General features: G+C 48.7%; 1 protein-coding gene across 18 annotated transcripts in view, besides 7 other annotated features; it reads right to left on the bottom strand.

Annotated features, from left to right (window-relative positions):
- NOD2 (nucleotide binding oligomerization domain containing 2) overlaps positions 1–16,126 on the bottom strand; it is a 39,470-nt gene extending 23,344 nt beyond the window's left edge. For 11 of the 18 annotated variants that reach the window (NR_163434.1, XR_007064895.1, XR_007064894.1 and 8 more), the window contains exons 1-3: positions 16,070–16,126; positions 9,778–10,244; positions 1,772–1,877 (exon numbers count right to left, since the gene is read on the bottom strand). Coding sequence is in view for 13 of the 18 variants with exons in the window: in NM_001370466.1 (NP_001357395.1) it covers positions 1,772–1,877; positions 9,778–10,236 (565 nt within the window). In the remaining 5 variants the exon portion in view is untranslated. The other 7 variants (XM_047434453.1, XM_017023536.2, NM_022162.3 and 4 more) reach the window with 6 other exon arrangements.
- Positions 116–325: a silencer, noted in NCBI's record as "silent region_7490". NCBI's record gives its function as "represses an Ori minimal core promoter by ATAC-STARR-seq in GM12878 lymphoblastoid cells {active_cell/tissue: GM12878}" and the evidence as "EXISTENCE:reporter gene assay evidence [ECO:0000049][PMID:35858748]".
- Positions 3,700–3,994: a silencer, noted in NCBI's record as "tiled region #14141; K562 Repressive non-DNase unmatched - State 23:Low". NCBI's record gives its function as "represses a minimal TATA promoter and a strong SV40 promoter by Sharpr-MPRA in K562 cells {active_cell/tissue: K562}" and the evidence as "EXISTENCE:reporter gene assay evidence [ECO:0000049][PMID:27701403]".
- Positions 11,492–11,851: an enhancer, noted in NCBI's record as "active region_10825". NCBI's record gives its function as "activates an Ori minimal core promoter by ATAC-STARR-seq in GM12878 lymphoblastoid cells {active_cell/tissue: GM12878}" and the evidence as "EXISTENCE:reporter gene assay evidence [ECO:0000049][PMID:35858748]".
- Positions 13,203–13,252: an enhancer, noted in NCBI's record as "active region_10824". NCBI's record gives its function as "activates an Ori minimal core promoter by ATAC-STARR-seq in GM12878 lymphoblastoid cells {active_cell/tissue: GM12878}" and the evidence as "EXISTENCE:reporter gene assay evidence [ECO:0000049][PMID:35858748]".
- Positions 15,157–15,236: an enhancer, noted in NCBI's record as "active region_10823". NCBI's record gives its function as "activates an Ori minimal core promoter by ATAC-STARR-seq in GM12878 lymphoblastoid cells {active_cell/tissue: GM12878}" and the evidence as "EXISTENCE:reporter gene assay evidence [ECO:0000049][PMID:35858748]".
- Positions 15,477–15,526: an enhancer, noted in NCBI's record as "active region_10822". NCBI's record gives its function as "activates an Ori minimal core promoter by ATAC-STARR-seq in GM12878 lymphoblastoid cells {active_cell/tissue: GM12878}" and the evidence as "EXISTENCE:reporter gene assay evidence [ECO:0000049][PMID:35858748]".
- Positions 15,897–16,406: a silencer, noted in NCBI's record as "silent region_7489". NCBI's record gives its function as "represses an Ori minimal core promoter by ATAC-STARR-seq in GM12878 lymphoblastoid cells {active_cell/tissue: GM12878}" and the evidence as "EXISTENCE:reporter gene assay evidence [ECO:0000049][PMID:35858748]".

Here is a 17,039-nt window from a genome sequence, read left to right as displayed (position 1 = left end):
AAAGGAACTCTGAGATGTGATAAAGTTAAACTTCGAGATGGGGAGATGATCCTGATTGATCTGGGTGGACCTAGCAAGGGAAGGCCTCGGGGTCACCGGGGTGCCCCAGCTGAGCACTCGAACAAGAGTCTGTGATCCTGCCTCCACTTCCCCATCCTCCCCATGCACCCCATGCAGGGAGAGTTTTCATGCACGGGGTGTGTTTGGAAGGCCAGTGCTCTTCCTTTCTCATCCTGAAAGTAATGCAAGCAAACCATTTCCTGTGTCAGAGTTTAGTTCCCCTTTCAGGAAATGGGGAAGTGCTGGTTTAGCGTCCCAGGCTGGTAGGAGCTTGGCATGGTCCCCCGCCATCACAGCCTCACTGCCCCCAACCAAACACTGGCCCACTATTTTCAACCCAAAAACTAGCAAGTAATTTTCATAGAGCTCTGAGCTCACTGATGACTATCTGCAGTCACACAAAGGGGACGCCCTGTGTTTATGTCACCTCTGTTCCCAGAGTTGATGATTATTGCTGAGCTTTCTGCCCTCTGAATATACCAGGATCCCTGAACTTAGACCATAAGATAGATATCTTCCTCTCCAGTACATATCAGATATATATCTTCCTCTTCCGACCTGATTTCTGATGCAGGTTTTCCAGTCATCACCAATGATACTAAAATTCTCCAGAAAAAAAAAATGTCATTTTATAGAGAAATAAACACACCAATTGTCACCTTTAGAAGTGTGGGGAATCTTGCACCCTGGCCTGGTCTTACAGTGACTAGCTGTGCTTGATGATGTCAACAGCAAACCTCAACCAAGGGCCAAACCAGGGCCTGCACTCCGTGCCGCGCACCCTGCTGTGGCGCACTGATGTTTAGATCCTGTTCTTCAATGAGACGGTGCACTCGCGAGTGCCAGGCACAGACTTCCAGCCACCCCGCCCACAGGCTTGCTTGCTGCCCAGAGGACACAGCCCAGGGTGATAGACCCATCTGCCAGCACCACACACAGCTCAGGGGGCTTCAGTGCCAATGAGCTTTCCCTACAGTGGTGTAGGAACAAGCCCTAAAGAGTGCCAGGCTTGCACTCTCTCTTTACAACTGACATTTCTTCTCCCAAGAAAAGAGAAAGTGTAGGTGGGGACAATTTACAATCAGACCCATCTTCCCCTCCCTCGTCACTTAACCTCCCTGCCCAGTTTCCACATCTATAAGGTGGAAAAAAACACCACCTACTTCTCAGGGTTGTTGCAAAGGGTAGACATTGTCCATAAAGCACCTGGCAGGATGCCTGGTATGTTCAAGTGGTGCGGTCCAAGCCCCTCCTGTTCCTGAGTTTGGGTGGTGACCCTGGGCACTGAGGGATACCAGAGTCTCTAGATCCACTTGGTTCTTGAGTTTCCCATTGTGAGCTGCTAAATTTCAGAGATCAAGAGATACCAGCCCTAACTCAAAACATGTGTCCATATCTTTTCGGTACAGATAATGAGAGTTTGGATGGTAAGTAACACCTTTAGTTAGCCCTCAATATATGGTAGCCCAATTGTCAGTATACTGTGTGGGAGATAATGAAAGCTAATAGCTAACATTACACGCTTTTGTCCTTTTAATGCTCCCAAAATCCCAATGAGACGGGGTGGTGCTAGCCTTAAAACAAGGAAATTGAGTCATAGGGAGGCTATACTGCCAGCATATGGGATGTTAACCGAGGTGTGTTCTGCTCTTAACCATGGATCTGCACTGACTGCCCTTCCCTTTCTGATTAACTGAGAACATACACCTACCTTCCAAAGGCAGGGCCAATGGGACTGGTAATTCCTGAACATGTTGTAGAAGGAAGGCAGCCAATCCATTCGCTTTCACCGTGGCAAGATCAAGCAGCCTTCTTGCCTACAGGAAAGGCAGAAGACATTATTCTTCCAGGAAGGCTGATGGAGCAATGTGGGAAGGCTTACTGATTACTGCAACTTCATAAGCATCTCTCTTCCATCCAGAATAAAAGGTCAAAAAAACAACCGAACAACCACATGAGTTTCAAGTAGTTAATACAGTGTTGGATGGTGAATTGAACGCATGCATCCAATCTGGCTCCTACTCAAAACTCACTAAAACAGTGAATAACTGAAAAATAAATGAAACAAAATGAAGACATAAACCTACAAAGATAGGGAAAATGATTCTGCAGGCTGTAAATCATTTGGAAGAGAAGTGATTTCATCAAGTCTCATGGATTGAATATTTGAATACAATCTCTCCTCAGACTCCCACATCTTCATCTCCAGCCTGAACTGTCTCCCTGAACCCTGGACTTGCACATCCAACTGCCTATTTTCCATCTCCACTTAAAAGTTTCATAAACACCTCCAACATATTCAAAACTAAACTCCTAACCTGCCCATGCACCTGCCAAACCGACAGCCTTCCTCATCTTGGCTAATATTAACCCCTTTCTTCCAGGTGCTCTGCCCCGAAGTCTTGGAGTCACCCTTGAAGCCTCTCGTCTGTAATCTGCCAAATCCTGTTGACTCCACCTTCAAAGCATGTCCCAAAAAGGGCACTGTTCCACAGAAATGAAATGCAGGTCACAAATGCAAGCCGCATGTGGAATTTCAAATCCTCTAACAGACATATTTTTTAAAGTTAAAAGAAATAGATGAAATCAACTTTAATCATATATTCTATTTAATCCACAATAGCCAAAACATTACCATTTCAACATGTAATCCATGTAGAAAATAGCAAGATATGGCTGAGCATGGTGGCTCATGCCTGTAATCCCAGCAATTTGGGAGGCCAAGGCGGGTAGATCCCCTAAGGTCCGGAGTTCCAGACCAGCCTGGACAACATGGTGAAACCCCATCACTACTAAAAATACAAAAAATTAGCCAGGCGTGGTGGCAGGTGCCTGTAGTCCCAGGTACTCAGGAGGCTGAGGCAGGAGAATCACTTGAACCTGGGAGGCGGAGGTTGCAGTGAGCCGAGATCACACCACTGCACTCCAGCCTGGGTGACAGAGCAAGACTGGGTCTCAAAAAAAAAAAAAAAAGAAAGAAATAGCAAGGTACGTTTCATTCTTTCTTTCATATTAAGTCTTTGAAATCTGATGTGTATTATGTGCTTATGGAAACTCCATGTGGACCAGCCAGGTCTCTAGTGCTCAAATGCCATCTGTGGCCAATATCTACATACCAGACATAGAGTCATTTCTTGTCACCTCCTCTATACCATCCTCCTCCAAGCCACAATCCCTGCTTATCTGGAAAGCTGCACAGGCTGCAAAACTGGTCCCCCTGCTTCTGTTCCTGCCCCCACAGCCTAGCCTTAATGCCACAGCCAGAGTCTAATCCTTTACAAACAAAACTCAGGTCACATTGCTCCTGTACAAACGTCCCAATAGCGTCCCTATTTCCTCAGAGTAAGAGTCCAAGTCCAATAGTAACCTTCAGGGCCCAAAACAGACAAAAATACCTGTCTAGAACCACGTGGACCCAAGTTTCTCCTTTCATGCCCCCTCTTACTCCACTCAGCATCCTGGCCTCCTGTTTCCTAAAACTACCAGGTATGCTCCTGCCTCTGGGCCTTGGCTCTGGCTGTCCTCTCAGCTTGGAAGCCTTCCCCTAGCCATCCATGTGGCTAATTCCCTGTCCTCCTTCAAGTCTTTACTTGAATTTCACCTTCTAAGTGAGAACTCTGACTACTCTATTTACAATTGCCATCATTTATCCCCTTCCCAAACTCTCAACTCCCAAACCCACTTTACTTACTTTCTACAGCACTTATCACCTTCTAGCACACGCTGTAATTTCCTTCCTTTGGCTTATTGTCCCTCTCCCCTGACTGGAGTGTGTGTATTTCCAAGACAAAGATTTTTGTCTGTTTTGTTCACTGAGGTATCCCTAACACCTAGAAGAATGTCTGGCACAAATCAGGTGCTCAAGGACTTGCTGATTGAATGAATAGTAACGGACTGAGGAGACTCCTGAAAGCCAAATCTTAACCCCAAAACAAGAAAGTTGAAAACCATGCAGTGTGTACCCTAGGATCTGTAAAGGGCTCTGGAATGATCAGCATGAGGGACCTCCGGAACTGAAGGAAATGACTAAAACAAGGAAGACTGAATCAAAGTGGTTTCTGAAACAGATTTCTGGTTTATCCCCAGGCAAAAGGTCTGTGGTGTACTCAGATAACTTGATCAACCCAGGAGGCGAGATCTAAAGATATAAACACTGTCAATCTCCAAAATATCTACAGTGAAATTCATGGTAGACAAGTTTCACCCGCATGCTCAACAAGTTTTAAAGTCCTACCTGTCAATCTTGAGAAAGAAAACCAAAGAGTATCATGAGCCCAGAGAAAGCATCTAATGTGGGAGATAGAAGCCAAAAAGGGGGGAAGGGGAAAGAAACTTGTAGAAAAAGTTTACATAGGGTGAAAAACAGTCAAACAAACAAACAAAGAACCCACCTATCTTATGATCCTTAAGTCAAAGAAGATGTTGCATCCATAAAACAAGAGTAAGATACTACAAAAAAGAATCAGTCAAACCTACCCCTTGCAAATTAAAATCATGACATCAAAAATGAAAAACTCAAGAGTTTAAAGATAGAGCTGTGACTATCATAGAAAAGTAGAGCAAAAAGACACAGAGATGGAAAATAGAAGAAAATTAAATGATCAGTCAAGGAATTCTAACATTGAATTAATAGTAGTTTCATGAAAAGAGAAGAGATAAAATGGAGAGGAAGAAATCACCTGTAAACTAATCAAGAACATTTCCCAAAACATAGAGAAGTTTCCAGATTGAAAGTACCTCTTGGGTGACTAACATAATGGAAGAACACCAAGGCACATAATTGAAATTTTAAAATTCTGGGGACTAAAAGAAAATTTTAAAAGCTTCCAGAAAGAGTTTTAAAATGGTTTTGGAGGCTGGGTGTGGTGGCTCACGCCTTTAATCCCAGCACTTTGGGAGGCCGAAGTAGGCAGATCACCTAAAGTCAGAAGTTCAAGACCAGCCTGGCCAACATAGCAAAACCCCATCTCTACTAAAGGGTGTGGTGGTGGGTGCCTGTAATCCCAGCTGCTCAGGAGGCTGAGGAAGAAGAATCACTTAAACCCAGGAGGTGGAGGTTGCAGTGAGCTGAGATCACACTACTGCATTCCAGCCTGGGTGACAGAGTGAGACACTGTCTCAAAAAGAAAAAAAAAAAAAGGTTTTGGAATTCTTAGAAGCAATATTGAAAAGAGAGGATAATGGAATAATGCAATCAAAATTCTGAAGGAAAATGATGGCCAGCCCAGAATTTTATACCCAGCCAAACTATCAATCCAGTATGAGGGAACTTTAAGACATGTGAGACCTCAGAAATTTTAACTTTCATACATTCATTCTAAGGAATTGACTGGAGGATACGGTCTAGCAAAATGTAGTAAACCAGGGAAGAAGAGGCCATAGGATTCAGGATACAGGAGACCAAGGCAGGAAGACCATGTAGGGAAATCTCAGGTTGATGGCTGTATACTATAAGTAGATGGCCACCAGTTCAAACAAAATGGAGCAGTGACTCAAGATTCAAACAAGTTGAGGGCAGTTATCTCCTAGATGTCCAGGCAAGCCTGACCCTAACCTTTATCTATATTTGACTTGTCTTCACCATGAACTAATATCGTTTCTTTTCAACTCCCGCTGCCTCAGTCAGCTGAGGACATTCATTTCACTCCACAGGAGTGTTTAGCCTTGGCCCATTCCTGTGAGCTATAATAGCCTTTGGCAACTTTACCACTGACTGTACAAAGCAGCCCACTTCCTCTGGCCATTTTCCTCCGGACACAGCACCTAATTCACATCAGTCCTACCAGACCCTCCAGTTGCAATGAGCCCAATATTTCCCCAGACTCATTCATGGCATTGCCGACTGACTTCCCAGAAGAGGTCCTTATAAATTCCCAGGGAAGGAAAAGCCAGACCAAGTCCCTGAGACTCCACTTAGCTTTCCCTGCCTTGGGAACCTTCATCTAAGAAAAGGCAATAGTAACCTTTCTTTTTTTTTTTTTTTTTTTTGAGACAGAGTCTTGCTCTGTGACCCAGGCTAGAGTGCAGTGGTGCGATCTTGGCTCACTGCAACCTCTGCCTCCCGGGTTCAAGCAGTGCGATCTCGGCTCACTGCAACATCTGCCTCCCGGGTTCAAGCGATTCTCCTGCCTCAGCCTCCCGAGTAGCTGGGACTACAGGCACATGCCACTATTCTTGGCTAATTTTTTGTATTTTTAGTAGAGACGGGGTTTCTCCATGTTGGCCAGGATGGTCTCGATCTCCTGACCTTGTGATCCACCTGCCTCAGCCTCCCAAAGTACTGGGATTAAAGGCTTGAGCCACTGCACCCAGCCTAATTTAAGTGACCTTTCTTTACACAGCTATTTTTGGCTTGCTACTCAGTTTTTCAAAATAGAACAATACATTATTTGGGGATTTATTTTAAAAGATGCTAAAACATTAAAGAAAGGCAAAGAGATGATTTACACAAAAGTCAAGCCAGTGTTTACCTCTAGCAGTTGCAGTTAAAGAAGGCCCCAGGTACTGGCAACATCCTGTTTTTTAACCTGGGTGATGGGAACAGTTTACACTATACATATGAAATATACACACTCTTCTGTATGCATGGTGCATTTCCCAATTTAAAAAATGTTTAAGTTAATATTGTTATAGGAATCAGGCAATTCAGAGCTCAGTCTGACACCTCAGCCCTATCAACTTTAACAGTTGCATGAGTCAGACGGACAGCTGGTATTACAGCTGGTGTTACCAGCCTCAGGTTTCCTAACAACTGCTATGCCCAACTGAGCAAGTTTACCACACAAAGCCCCCACATTTTATGACAGACAGAGAATAGCACAAGCTCTGGAGGAAAACAGGCCTGGATTCAAATTCTAGCTGGGCCGCTTCCCAGATGGGCGATTTGGGCAGTTTCTTCATTGTTAAGAAACAGTGTAGTCACACTATACCCTTGTGAGGCTTAAATAAAACAATACAGGGAATGGACTGGGTACAGTGTCTGGCACACAGTAGGAATTCACTCAGTCAATAGTAGCAATGGGTATTTTTGGAATTTAGTTCTTTAACTTGCATTTTGTTTCATTCCACAGCATTTTCTGTCCCTAACCTGCAATCAATGACAACTACTTCTTTATAGGAAATTAAAAGGCCATTTGGGAAGACATGTTGGTTGGATATACCACAAGCACCATCCAAATGAAATCAGTAAGGCCACTAAGGGAAGGCCACCAAATCAGAGTCACAGAATGTCAGAGCTCAAAGGGAGCTCAGAGAGAGCTGGATTCTAAAGGCTTAAACCTCAGGCAGTGCAATCCTTTCAAAATCTCCTGCTCTCCTCAGATCTGTTGTCTCCCATCCCTGCTACCCACTCAGCTCAGTCCCAACCTTCAATGTTTGCTTTTGCTGTCTATTTAGCCCTTTCTTAAGATGAATTCTTAGCTCATTAAAATTCAGCCTTAGATGGGCGCAGTGGCTCATGCCTGTAATCCCAGCACTTTGGGAAGCCGAGGGAGGAGGATTACTTGAGCCCAGGAGTTTGAGACCTCAACATAGCAAGACCCTGTGTCTACAAAAAAAAAATTAGCCTGGTATGGTGGTGCTAGCCTGTGTCCCACCTACTTGGAAGGCTGAGGCGGGAGGATCACTTCAGCCCAGAAGTTCGAGACTTCAGTGATTTATGATCGTGCTACTGCACTCCAGCAGCCTGGGTGACACAGTGAGACCCCCATCTCAAATAAATAAATAAACAAATAAATAAACAAATGCCTTCCTTCTTTCCTAATCTAGGCACCTAAGGTTGTAAATTTCCCCCTATGTCCTGCTTTAGCTGCATCCAATAGATTTTGATAAATAATATTCTCATTATTGTATGGTTCTGAATATTTTCTGATTTCCATCATGATTTCTTCTTTGACCCATGAGTTATCCCATTTCTTTTCTTCACCAATCCATGTACTTCCTCTGTTCACATCCTGTCTTCTCTGGGCCCTAGGGATCTAGGCTACCTTCTCCAAACCCCTCAGACCATCTGTACCACATCACATTGCTGAACTTTTAAAGATGACAAGACACAATCTTGTAACTTCTCAGATGGGCTGATTCAATTCCCCTAACAAATTATAAGAGAAACTAAGGTCAGTCCAATAACGAATATGTCTTCTGTACGTGCAACTAATCAGAGAGGACTGCACCACTTCTGCTCTGTAAATACCTAGCCATGTGAGCCAGCTTTAGTGCAGCCTTGAAGACAAATTTATTTATGTCATCAATCTCAATCTAGGGTTATCCAGACTCATGTGAACAACACATACATTTTTGGAAAACAGACAAAAACAAAAACTAAAATGTTCCCCAACCCAGCCCATTTTAACACTGCAGTGTCATTCTAATTCAATCATTCATTCAGTAACTCACTTATTTCATCAACAAATGTTTATGGAGTACCTACCGTGTGCAAAGCTCTATGAACACAACAAACTTTAAGCAAATATGTATGAAGCACCTAATAGATTCTGGCTGAATAAATGAATGATGGATGAATAAGTCAATGACCAGTGCTGGCCAATTGGTCCAGCACTGGCCCCCTCATTAACTACTGTGAGCTTATTCAAACTACTTTCCTTGGTCTCAACTTCCCGATTTATAAAGTGGAATGTTAATGATTGTTCCATCTGCCTCTCAGGAGCCCTAAGAATCACTATTTGGAAGAAAACAAAAGAGTTTCAAAAATACTCAGTGGTCATTTCTCTGACCTTCTGGTCTCTGCTGAGTTACTACATTCTCAGGGGCTGTTATATACCAACTCTGAACATCTATGATCTAATGCAATTTCATGTCAGAAATCCTACATAAACATTTAAGCTATATTAGTTTATAATATGCTATGTTAATTATAAAATAAATTCAATATACTGCAGTGTTATGGTCTGTTGTGCTGTTAATTTAAAACAGACAGAAATAAAAGTGTACAAGTACAGAGTATCACTCATAACAGAAATAATAAATAGCAGCCAGTGGTAATAGACACTATCCTAAGCATTACTCAAATTAACTCACTGAATCCTCCCAAGAGCCTTATAGGATAGGCACCATTTGACTATTAACATTGTTTTGTAGATGAGGAAACTGAAACAAGGGAGACTGAGGCTGGAGAGGCTCCATAGGGAAGCCTGAGATCACACAGGGTTGACCTTGAGCCTGCACCATTCTGGCTCCAGAATCTGAGTTCCTGGCCACCACACACTTCCTCTCGGCAGAAGTGTTCTGTTGGCCAGGCAAAGTGGCTCATGCCTGCAATCCCAACAGTTTGGGAGGCCAAGGCGGGAGGATTGCTTAAAGCCAGGAGCTGGAGACCAGCCTGGGCAACATAGCAACACCCCATCTCTAAAAGAAAAAAAAAAAATTAGCTGTTCATGGTGGTACAGCAGCCGTAGTCCCAGCTACTCTAAGGCCAGAAGATCACTTGAGCGCAGGAATTCAAGGCTACAGTGAGCTATGATTGTGCCACTGCATTCTAGCCAGGGTAACAGAGTGAGAAAAAGAAAAGAAAAGAAGAAAGAAAGAGTTGTACGTTTCCTGCCAAGAGTCAAGAGCAAATTTTACCTGCCTGGCTACCTTTTTAGGGGAAATCCCATGGACCAAGTTACCCCACAGGCTGACTTCATGAGGACAAATCAGTCTTGGTGACTAAGCACCCCTTTCCTGAGAACTCTGTGATGCACACCAGGAGTGCCTCACCCTCTGGGACGGTGTGAAGATCGGCAACCTGATTTCATCACATTCATACTGGCTGACGAAACCCCGCTCCCATGCCAGGTCCAGCATGTTCTCCACATGGCTGTGGAGCCTCCTGACAATGGCTGGCCGGTGACTCTGCAGGTCTCGGGCTGGGTGGAGCGAGTGGGGGTCCCAGCAGCCATGCAGCTTGGGGGACTGGCTGTCGGCCTGGGCTTCTTGGGCAGCCGCGATGAGCTTCTGACAGGCCCAAGTACCCTTATTCCAGACGGTGTCCAGAAGGCGCCTGGCCAAGTGGGAGAGAGGCTGGCCCAGGAGGTGGAAGCCCTCGTAGTCCTCCCAGGAGAGGACCTCCCAGGACAGCAGCCAGTCCAGGACACTCTCGAAGCCTTCCAGGGACCCTGAGACCAGCAGCTCGACCAGCTGGCTCCTCTGTGCCTGAAAAGCCTCCTGCGAGCACATTTCACAACCTGGGGAGGAGAACAAGGTCAGTGCGGGACTTCTCCAGAAGCCAGATGCAGGGTGGTCAGGGAAGGCCAGGGCAAGTCAGCCCCAGCAGAACCCGAGTTGGCCATGGTTCTAGCCTCAGACATTACCCAATCCAAGCTCCCCACCATATAGATGTGAAAATTGAGACCCAGAGAAGGCAAGAAACACCTCAAGGTTCCACAGAGTTTGAAGCAACCAAGAATTAAATCAAGACCCCTAACTCCCATATCCATGCTTGGTCTCCGGCTTAAAACGTTTAAAAAGGCTTGAGGTAATATTAGGAGCAAGAGATCTCCCAAGGTCACTTGAGATCAGGAGCGCTAGACCAGCCCGGCCAACACGGTGAAACGCTGTCTCTACTAAAAATACAAAAATTAGCCAGGCGTGGTGGCGAGCGCCTGTAATCCCAGCTACTCAGGAGGCTGAGACAGGAGAATCACTTGAACCCGGGAGGCAGAGGTTGCAGTGAGCCAAGATGGCACCATTGCGCTCCAGCCTGGGCAAGAGAGCAAGACCGTTTCTCAAAAAAAAAAAAAAAAGACAGAGAGAGAGAGAGAGATCTTCCAAACAATCAGGGAATTCATTCTCTTCGAAGCAGGGTGAGAGGGGCTCTTTCATGCTGGCTGGATTCAGGCTACAGCAGTTTCAGTAACGGCTAATATTAATTAAGCATAAACTACACACCAAGTGCCATTCTAAGTGCTCTCCTGCAGGAATTCACTGAACCCTCCCAGCCACTCTGAAGTAGTGCCTATGATCTACCCATTCTACAGAGGAAGACACTGAGGCACCAAGAAGCTAAGTGATTTGTACGATGTGTCACAGCTAGACAGGCAGAGTCAGGATTTCAACACGAGCCATGTATGACTCCGGAATGCATGTCTCTAACTCTTACATTTGGGTTCCCCACGGGGGCCCCAAGCCCGTGCTGTGTGTTTTGCACACTGCTACTCCAAGGGGTAGACTCAGAATATTGCTCTAAAGGTCCTGTCCTAGGCGAAGTGAAAAATTACGGTGCAAACTAAGTTGTTTCCGAGCGTTCTGGTGCCTTGTCCCCCATCAACACTTCCCACACACACTTGCCCTAGGGCCCTCACCTCCCTCCCACGCCCTCGAAACCACCGTGCACAGACTGCTGCCACTGCTATCATCAGTGACCTGCTGTGCGTTCTGGGAATTTGAGGGCAAGTGACCCTCCAGGAGCTTCAAGCCCTGGCAGGGTCCCTGAGCAGCCAAGAAAATCTCTCAGCATGGTCAGTTCTGCGATTGTCATGGGGTCTGTGGACAAGGGCTGCTGCAGTGCCCCGAAGAAACGAAAGTGAAAGGGTGTAGGCATGGACAACAAAGAGGGCCGTCAGCTTCTTTTTATAAATCAGGGACATTCCCAGACACTCAAGGGAGCAGATGCCAAGTGGCCTGGGGATTTTACCTCTTTCCTGATGGTTGTTTATGTGTCTCTCTCCCTGCCTGGGCCACGTGGGAGCCTGGGTCTTACTCGTCCTGGCATCCCTGAGCCTGGCACAGCATTGTCCCCCACAAAGACACTGAGGGAATGTTCATGAATCAAATATCCCCTGGGCTGGGGGTGGGGGGAACACTCTGTATCCGTCCTCATACGGTAGCCAAGGTAAGCAAAAGGAGAAAGCTCCAATCTCTCAGAACGCTGCTGGGGCACAGGGGGCCCTGTGCTGGTCAGATGGGGAAACTGAGGCAATGAGGTTACTTGTGTGTCTGGCTGCTTGGGAGAGAGGGTGTACCCCCCTGCAGAGGCCACTGGAAGCCAGGATCTAAGGTAGTTCTCTCAGGCCAAGGAGTTCTCCTCCTTGTGCCCACATCTAAGCAGAGGAGCCAAGAGGGTGGGGTGGCCGAGGACAGGGGAAGAGAGGACAAAAAAGGGTAGAATAAGCTCTGGGCTTGGCCCTGGAGTGGTTCTCAGCTGTGGAAACACCAGCCAAGGATGCGACAGCGGCCCCCACCATTGACCCTGCCCAGGTCCTGGGGAAAAAAACCCGCCGACCCATTCTCCCCAGAAAACAGCCCAGAAACAGAGTCAGCACTCCCCATCTGACCCCAGGCCTGGGAGCATGTCGCGGCCAAGGATGAAAGAAGGCTGAGGATCAAGCTGGGACGGGACAATGCCTGCTCCTCTTACCCGGAGAATGTCCGAGGAGGACACTTGCTCTTTCCTCCTCATCGTGAGAGGCTGAACCACCCTCTTCCCCCATCAAAGCCCATTAGGCTGGGGGAGCAGGCATGGCATCTGCGGGTAGGCCTTGTGCAGAACGCCAAAAGCCCAGTGGCACAGGACTGGTGAGCCTGGATCTGTCTACCAACCCCACCTTCAAGGGAAATTCCCAAAGGAAAAGCCGGAGGCCAGAGTTGGCCAACCAGCCTTCCAGAACTAGGCAATTCCAAGCAATTCTGGCACAAAGCCTTGTGCATCCTGGAGACCATGACCCTCACTGAAAAACCCCACTGGGGACATGAGACACATTCACGAGGGGACAGGCCACAAGTAAGTAGGGGCCCCTCCCTTGCACACCAAGCCTAGGGCAGCCTGGCCTACGTGTGAGCCATACACACCCCAGCTAGTGACGTTGGGCTTCTGTGGACACCAGGAAGGGGAGGCCCGCCCAAGCCACGTGACTCGGAGCTCTGTCCTCCCAGCAGCTACATCACCACACCTCTGCCCTGGCCTTCTTCCAGAAACCTCAGAGCAGAGAGAATCCTGAGGGCCAATTCAGCCAGGCCCTGTCTCTGAGCAGGCATTGTCCTGTCTCATCTTAAACATCTGGGGAGGAGAACCTGGCCTTAGTGCTGTTCTCACTAACCAGCTCAGGAAGCTCACCAGCTTGGGAAGTTAATCATTATGTCTAGCTTCAGTTTCTCCTGCTTCAGTTTAAATTGGGAAAGAGAGAGAAAAAATATTCACTCATTATCTGTTTCCTAAAATTGTCCTTAACATCCTTCCTCTTACTCCTTTATTACCTGGTCGGGCTTCCCCTCTTCAGGCGAAATCTGTCAGTCTATCTGCATTGCCTTTTGATCTCTACTTCAGTTACTACAACTTCAAAGACACCATTGTCCTCCCCAAGGTGAGGCCCATGTAGAGAAAGGATCACTTCCTTGCTGAAAGAGAGGGTCAAGGGGCGACCCACGTGGGCCCTCCCTGAAACCCAGGCCCAGGCCTGAGCCTGGACACCTCCTTCCTTCCTGAGACCACAGCCAGCCCGGTTTCTCTGGGGCCAAGAGCAAATGCTTTGCTTAAGTGCTGAAATCTCAGCCCACTGACCCCTTGCAGACAGGAGAGGAGGGGAAGCCCAGGGAAGCTCAACTTCCCAAGTGTCCTGAGTCTCTGCTGGGGCCAAGCCCCCCACCCTCCCCCAGCTATCCTGCATTCTCCCTCCCTAACACTGTTCTCTCCCTAAGAGATCAAATCCCCCCACCAGTGCACAATGCACTCTAATTCTCCATTGTAAAAGTAAAGCACTCTCTTGACACTCCCCTTCTTCATTTGGCTCCAATCCCATTTATCTGCTCCCTTTACAGCAGGCCCCCTTGTCTGTTGCCTGTACTGCTGTCCCCAAGTCCTCCCATCCCCTCCCATTCCCTCTAGTTCCCCATCCAGCTCCAGTGAAACTGTCACCAGTGACCTCCCATTGCTCAATCCTCAGCCCTCAGCCTGCTTGCTCTGCCAGGGGCATTGGTCATATTTGTTCCCTCCTTCCTCTTTGGGGCATTTTCTTCATTTCCTCCAGGACACCCCAACTCTCTGATTTTCACTCTTTCTGTCTTCTTGGCTGGTTCCTAACACTGGGGGCCCCAGCACTCAATGGTTAGACCCCTTCTCTTCTCCATATCACTCCATCCCTAGATGAGCCCACCTGCTCTTGTGGCTTTAAATACCAGTTATATGGTGATGATGCCCAAAGTTTTATTTTCAACTCCAACCTCCGCCCTTAACTTTTCCCAACTGCTTACTCATCATTGATGCCTAATGGGCAGCTCAAACTCCACAAGCACAAAACCAAACTCTTGATCTCTCCGCTAAGCAACTCCCATTTCAGTTCATGGCAGCTTCAAACCTCCAGAAGCTCGAGCCAAACACTCAGAATCATCTTTGACTCTACCTTTCTCTTGCACCCCAAACCCTATCGACACGGCCTTTGAAATATATCCCAAATCTGAATGTCTGGTTTTCTTTTTTTTAACCACCTCTGGGCCATGGGCAAGACACCATGGTCTCTCCCGAGAATGACAGCAATGATCCGCTCAACGGGCTCTCCTTCTGCCCTTACCCCACCCCCCCCATGATCCATTCTCCACCCCACAGCTAGATGGGCCTGCCAGACCCCAAGTCAAAGCAGGTGACTCCTCTGTTCCAAACCCGTGCTCCCATCATGCTCAGAGTGAAAACCAAAGCCTCCCAGCCCCCCAGATACTCATGTGGCTCACCCCTCAATTCCTTATGACTTTGCCCAGCTATCGTGGTCTTGGGGAAGCCTTCCCTGGTTGTGCTATATACAATGCAATACCCAGCCCCAGCACCCCATCCTGCTTCCCAGCTTTGTTTTACTCGTAGTACTTCCCGCCACCTGCTACGCCATGTATTTACTTATTTCATTGCTGTCCATTCCTTTCTAGAGTGTGCACTCCATGAGGGCAGGGGGTTTTGTCTGATTTTCCTACTGCTCTGTCTCGTGTCTCATCCAGTGCATGAATGATGACTGCTGGAAAGAATGAAAGAACTGACTTGCTCTGCATGGCTCCGGGAGACAGACATGGAACCAAGGTGTAGAATCTGTAAGCCACAGATTTTAGCTAAAGGAAACAAGAGCTGCAAGGCACTAAAAAGCCACCTCATCAGTAATAAGCTCCCCACCACTGGGCATGTGTCACAGAGGGGCTCTGCACTGGGTAGGAGGGAGGTGGGCTGGATGAGGATGCTTCCAGCCTCAGATCCCAGGGTGCAGCGAGGCAAAGGGGCCTTGAGCAGCCAACAAACTCAGGGGCCCCAGCAGCCCCATGGCTGAGTGATCGGGACAGGCAAGTACAGGTGGTGGGGATGTCACTCTGGTCTTTTTCACTAAGGGGTCAGGGGAGGGTGACAGGGCAGGTGTTTCCCCTCTGTAGAACAAGGACCCTGGAGGAGGCTAGGTCACAGCCCATGGGGAAACCAAGGCCATGGCAGGAGAGGCTCAGAAAGAGCAAACTCAGAAGCAGGGGTCCAGCCCCCAGCCCTCATGCAGCTTCAGGAGGTCCTCCCCAGGGGGATTGGGGTGGAGGGCTTTTCAGTTTGTTGGAATGAAAGCAGGACCAGATGGCTGCTCCATCAACCTGAGAAGCATAGGAGAGCAAACAGCTGGGGGATGTGGCCTCGCAGGTCCTGGTGTGGGCTGTCTGGGAAGGGATGGATTTGAACTTAGATCTCACACCCAACAAGGGAGAAGGAGGAGGCAGGAGATTCCCATAAGAGGTACAGAGAGCAGCAGCAGGATCCTCCAGGCAGACTCTCTCACTTATACCCACCCACTCACTGGCATGGTGAAGCTGGGGAAACTGAGTCCCACAGAGAGGAAGGAAATCAAAAGAGTGGCCCAGGGGCCTCCCCAACCTCGAGATGCCCCCTTTCCGTCTCACTTCCCATCTACATTCTGGGACTCCCCCAGGAGAAACCGAGGCAACCCTTGCCCAAGCCCTGCGGCCAGGACGGCTCAGAAGCCAAGTGTTCAAGTCCCGGGGGTGGGACCCTCGGCGCCCACAGTCTCCCCCCAGCCCACCCCCAGGCGCTGGGCACAGCACTCACCGCGAGCCGCCTGCGCGCCGACTCCAAGGCCCACTCCGGGCCACGACTCCCGGCTCCGGCTCCGGCTCGGGCTGCGGCTCCGGGTGCGCGGGCGCTCGGCTCCGCCCCCGCCCGGACCCCGCCCCTGCTCTGCCGGGACCGCAGCACCCGCTCCTGTCCCGTGGCCCCGCAGCCCCGCAGCCCCGCAGCCCCGCAGCGCCGGCTCCAGGGCTGGCCAGGCTTACCTGGGACAGGGCAGGACCGGGGCTTCCTGCGGGGCTGGACGGCCCTGGCTGTGTGCCCTAGCCAGTGTGCCTCTCTTTCTGGGCCACGTTTCAACCAGGAGGGAATCGGGGAGTCCTCGGAACAACCCGCTTCCCAACACATACACATACACACACACACACACCACACACCACACACACCGCTTCCCAGCACACACGCGCACACACACACACCACACACACACCGCTTCGCAACACACACACACGCCCTGCTTCCCCCCCACACGCAAACATGTTTCCCAATACACACACACAGCCCTCGCTTCCCCCCACACACAAACATGCTTCCCAATACACACACAGCCCTCGCTTCCCCCAACACACATACCTTGCTTCCCAACACTCACATACACACACACACACGCCCTGCTTCCCCCCACCACAAACATGCTTCCCGATACACATACACCCCCTACTTCCAACACACACACCCTGCTTCCCAACACTCACACACACACCACTTCCCAACACACACACACCCTGCTTTCCCAACACATACACCCCACACACACCGCTTCCCAACACACACGTGCACACACACACACACCCCACACACACACCACTTTCCAACACAAACACACACTACACTCCCTGCTTTCCCAACACACACACACCCCACACACACTGCTTCCCAACACACACGTGCACATACACACACCCCACACACACACCACTTCCCAACACACACACACCACACCCCACACACA

This window comes from Homo sapiens, chromosome 16 (assembly GCF_000001405.40).
Source record: "Homo sapiens chromosome 16, GRCh38.p14 Primary Assembly".
Classification (NCBI taxonomy): Eukaryota; Metazoa; Chordata; class Mammalia; order Primates; family Hominidae; genus Homo; species Homo sapiens.
The sequence above is the reverse complement of the archived record's forward strand: the minus strand, read 5'-3'. Positions and strand labels throughout refer to the sequence as shown.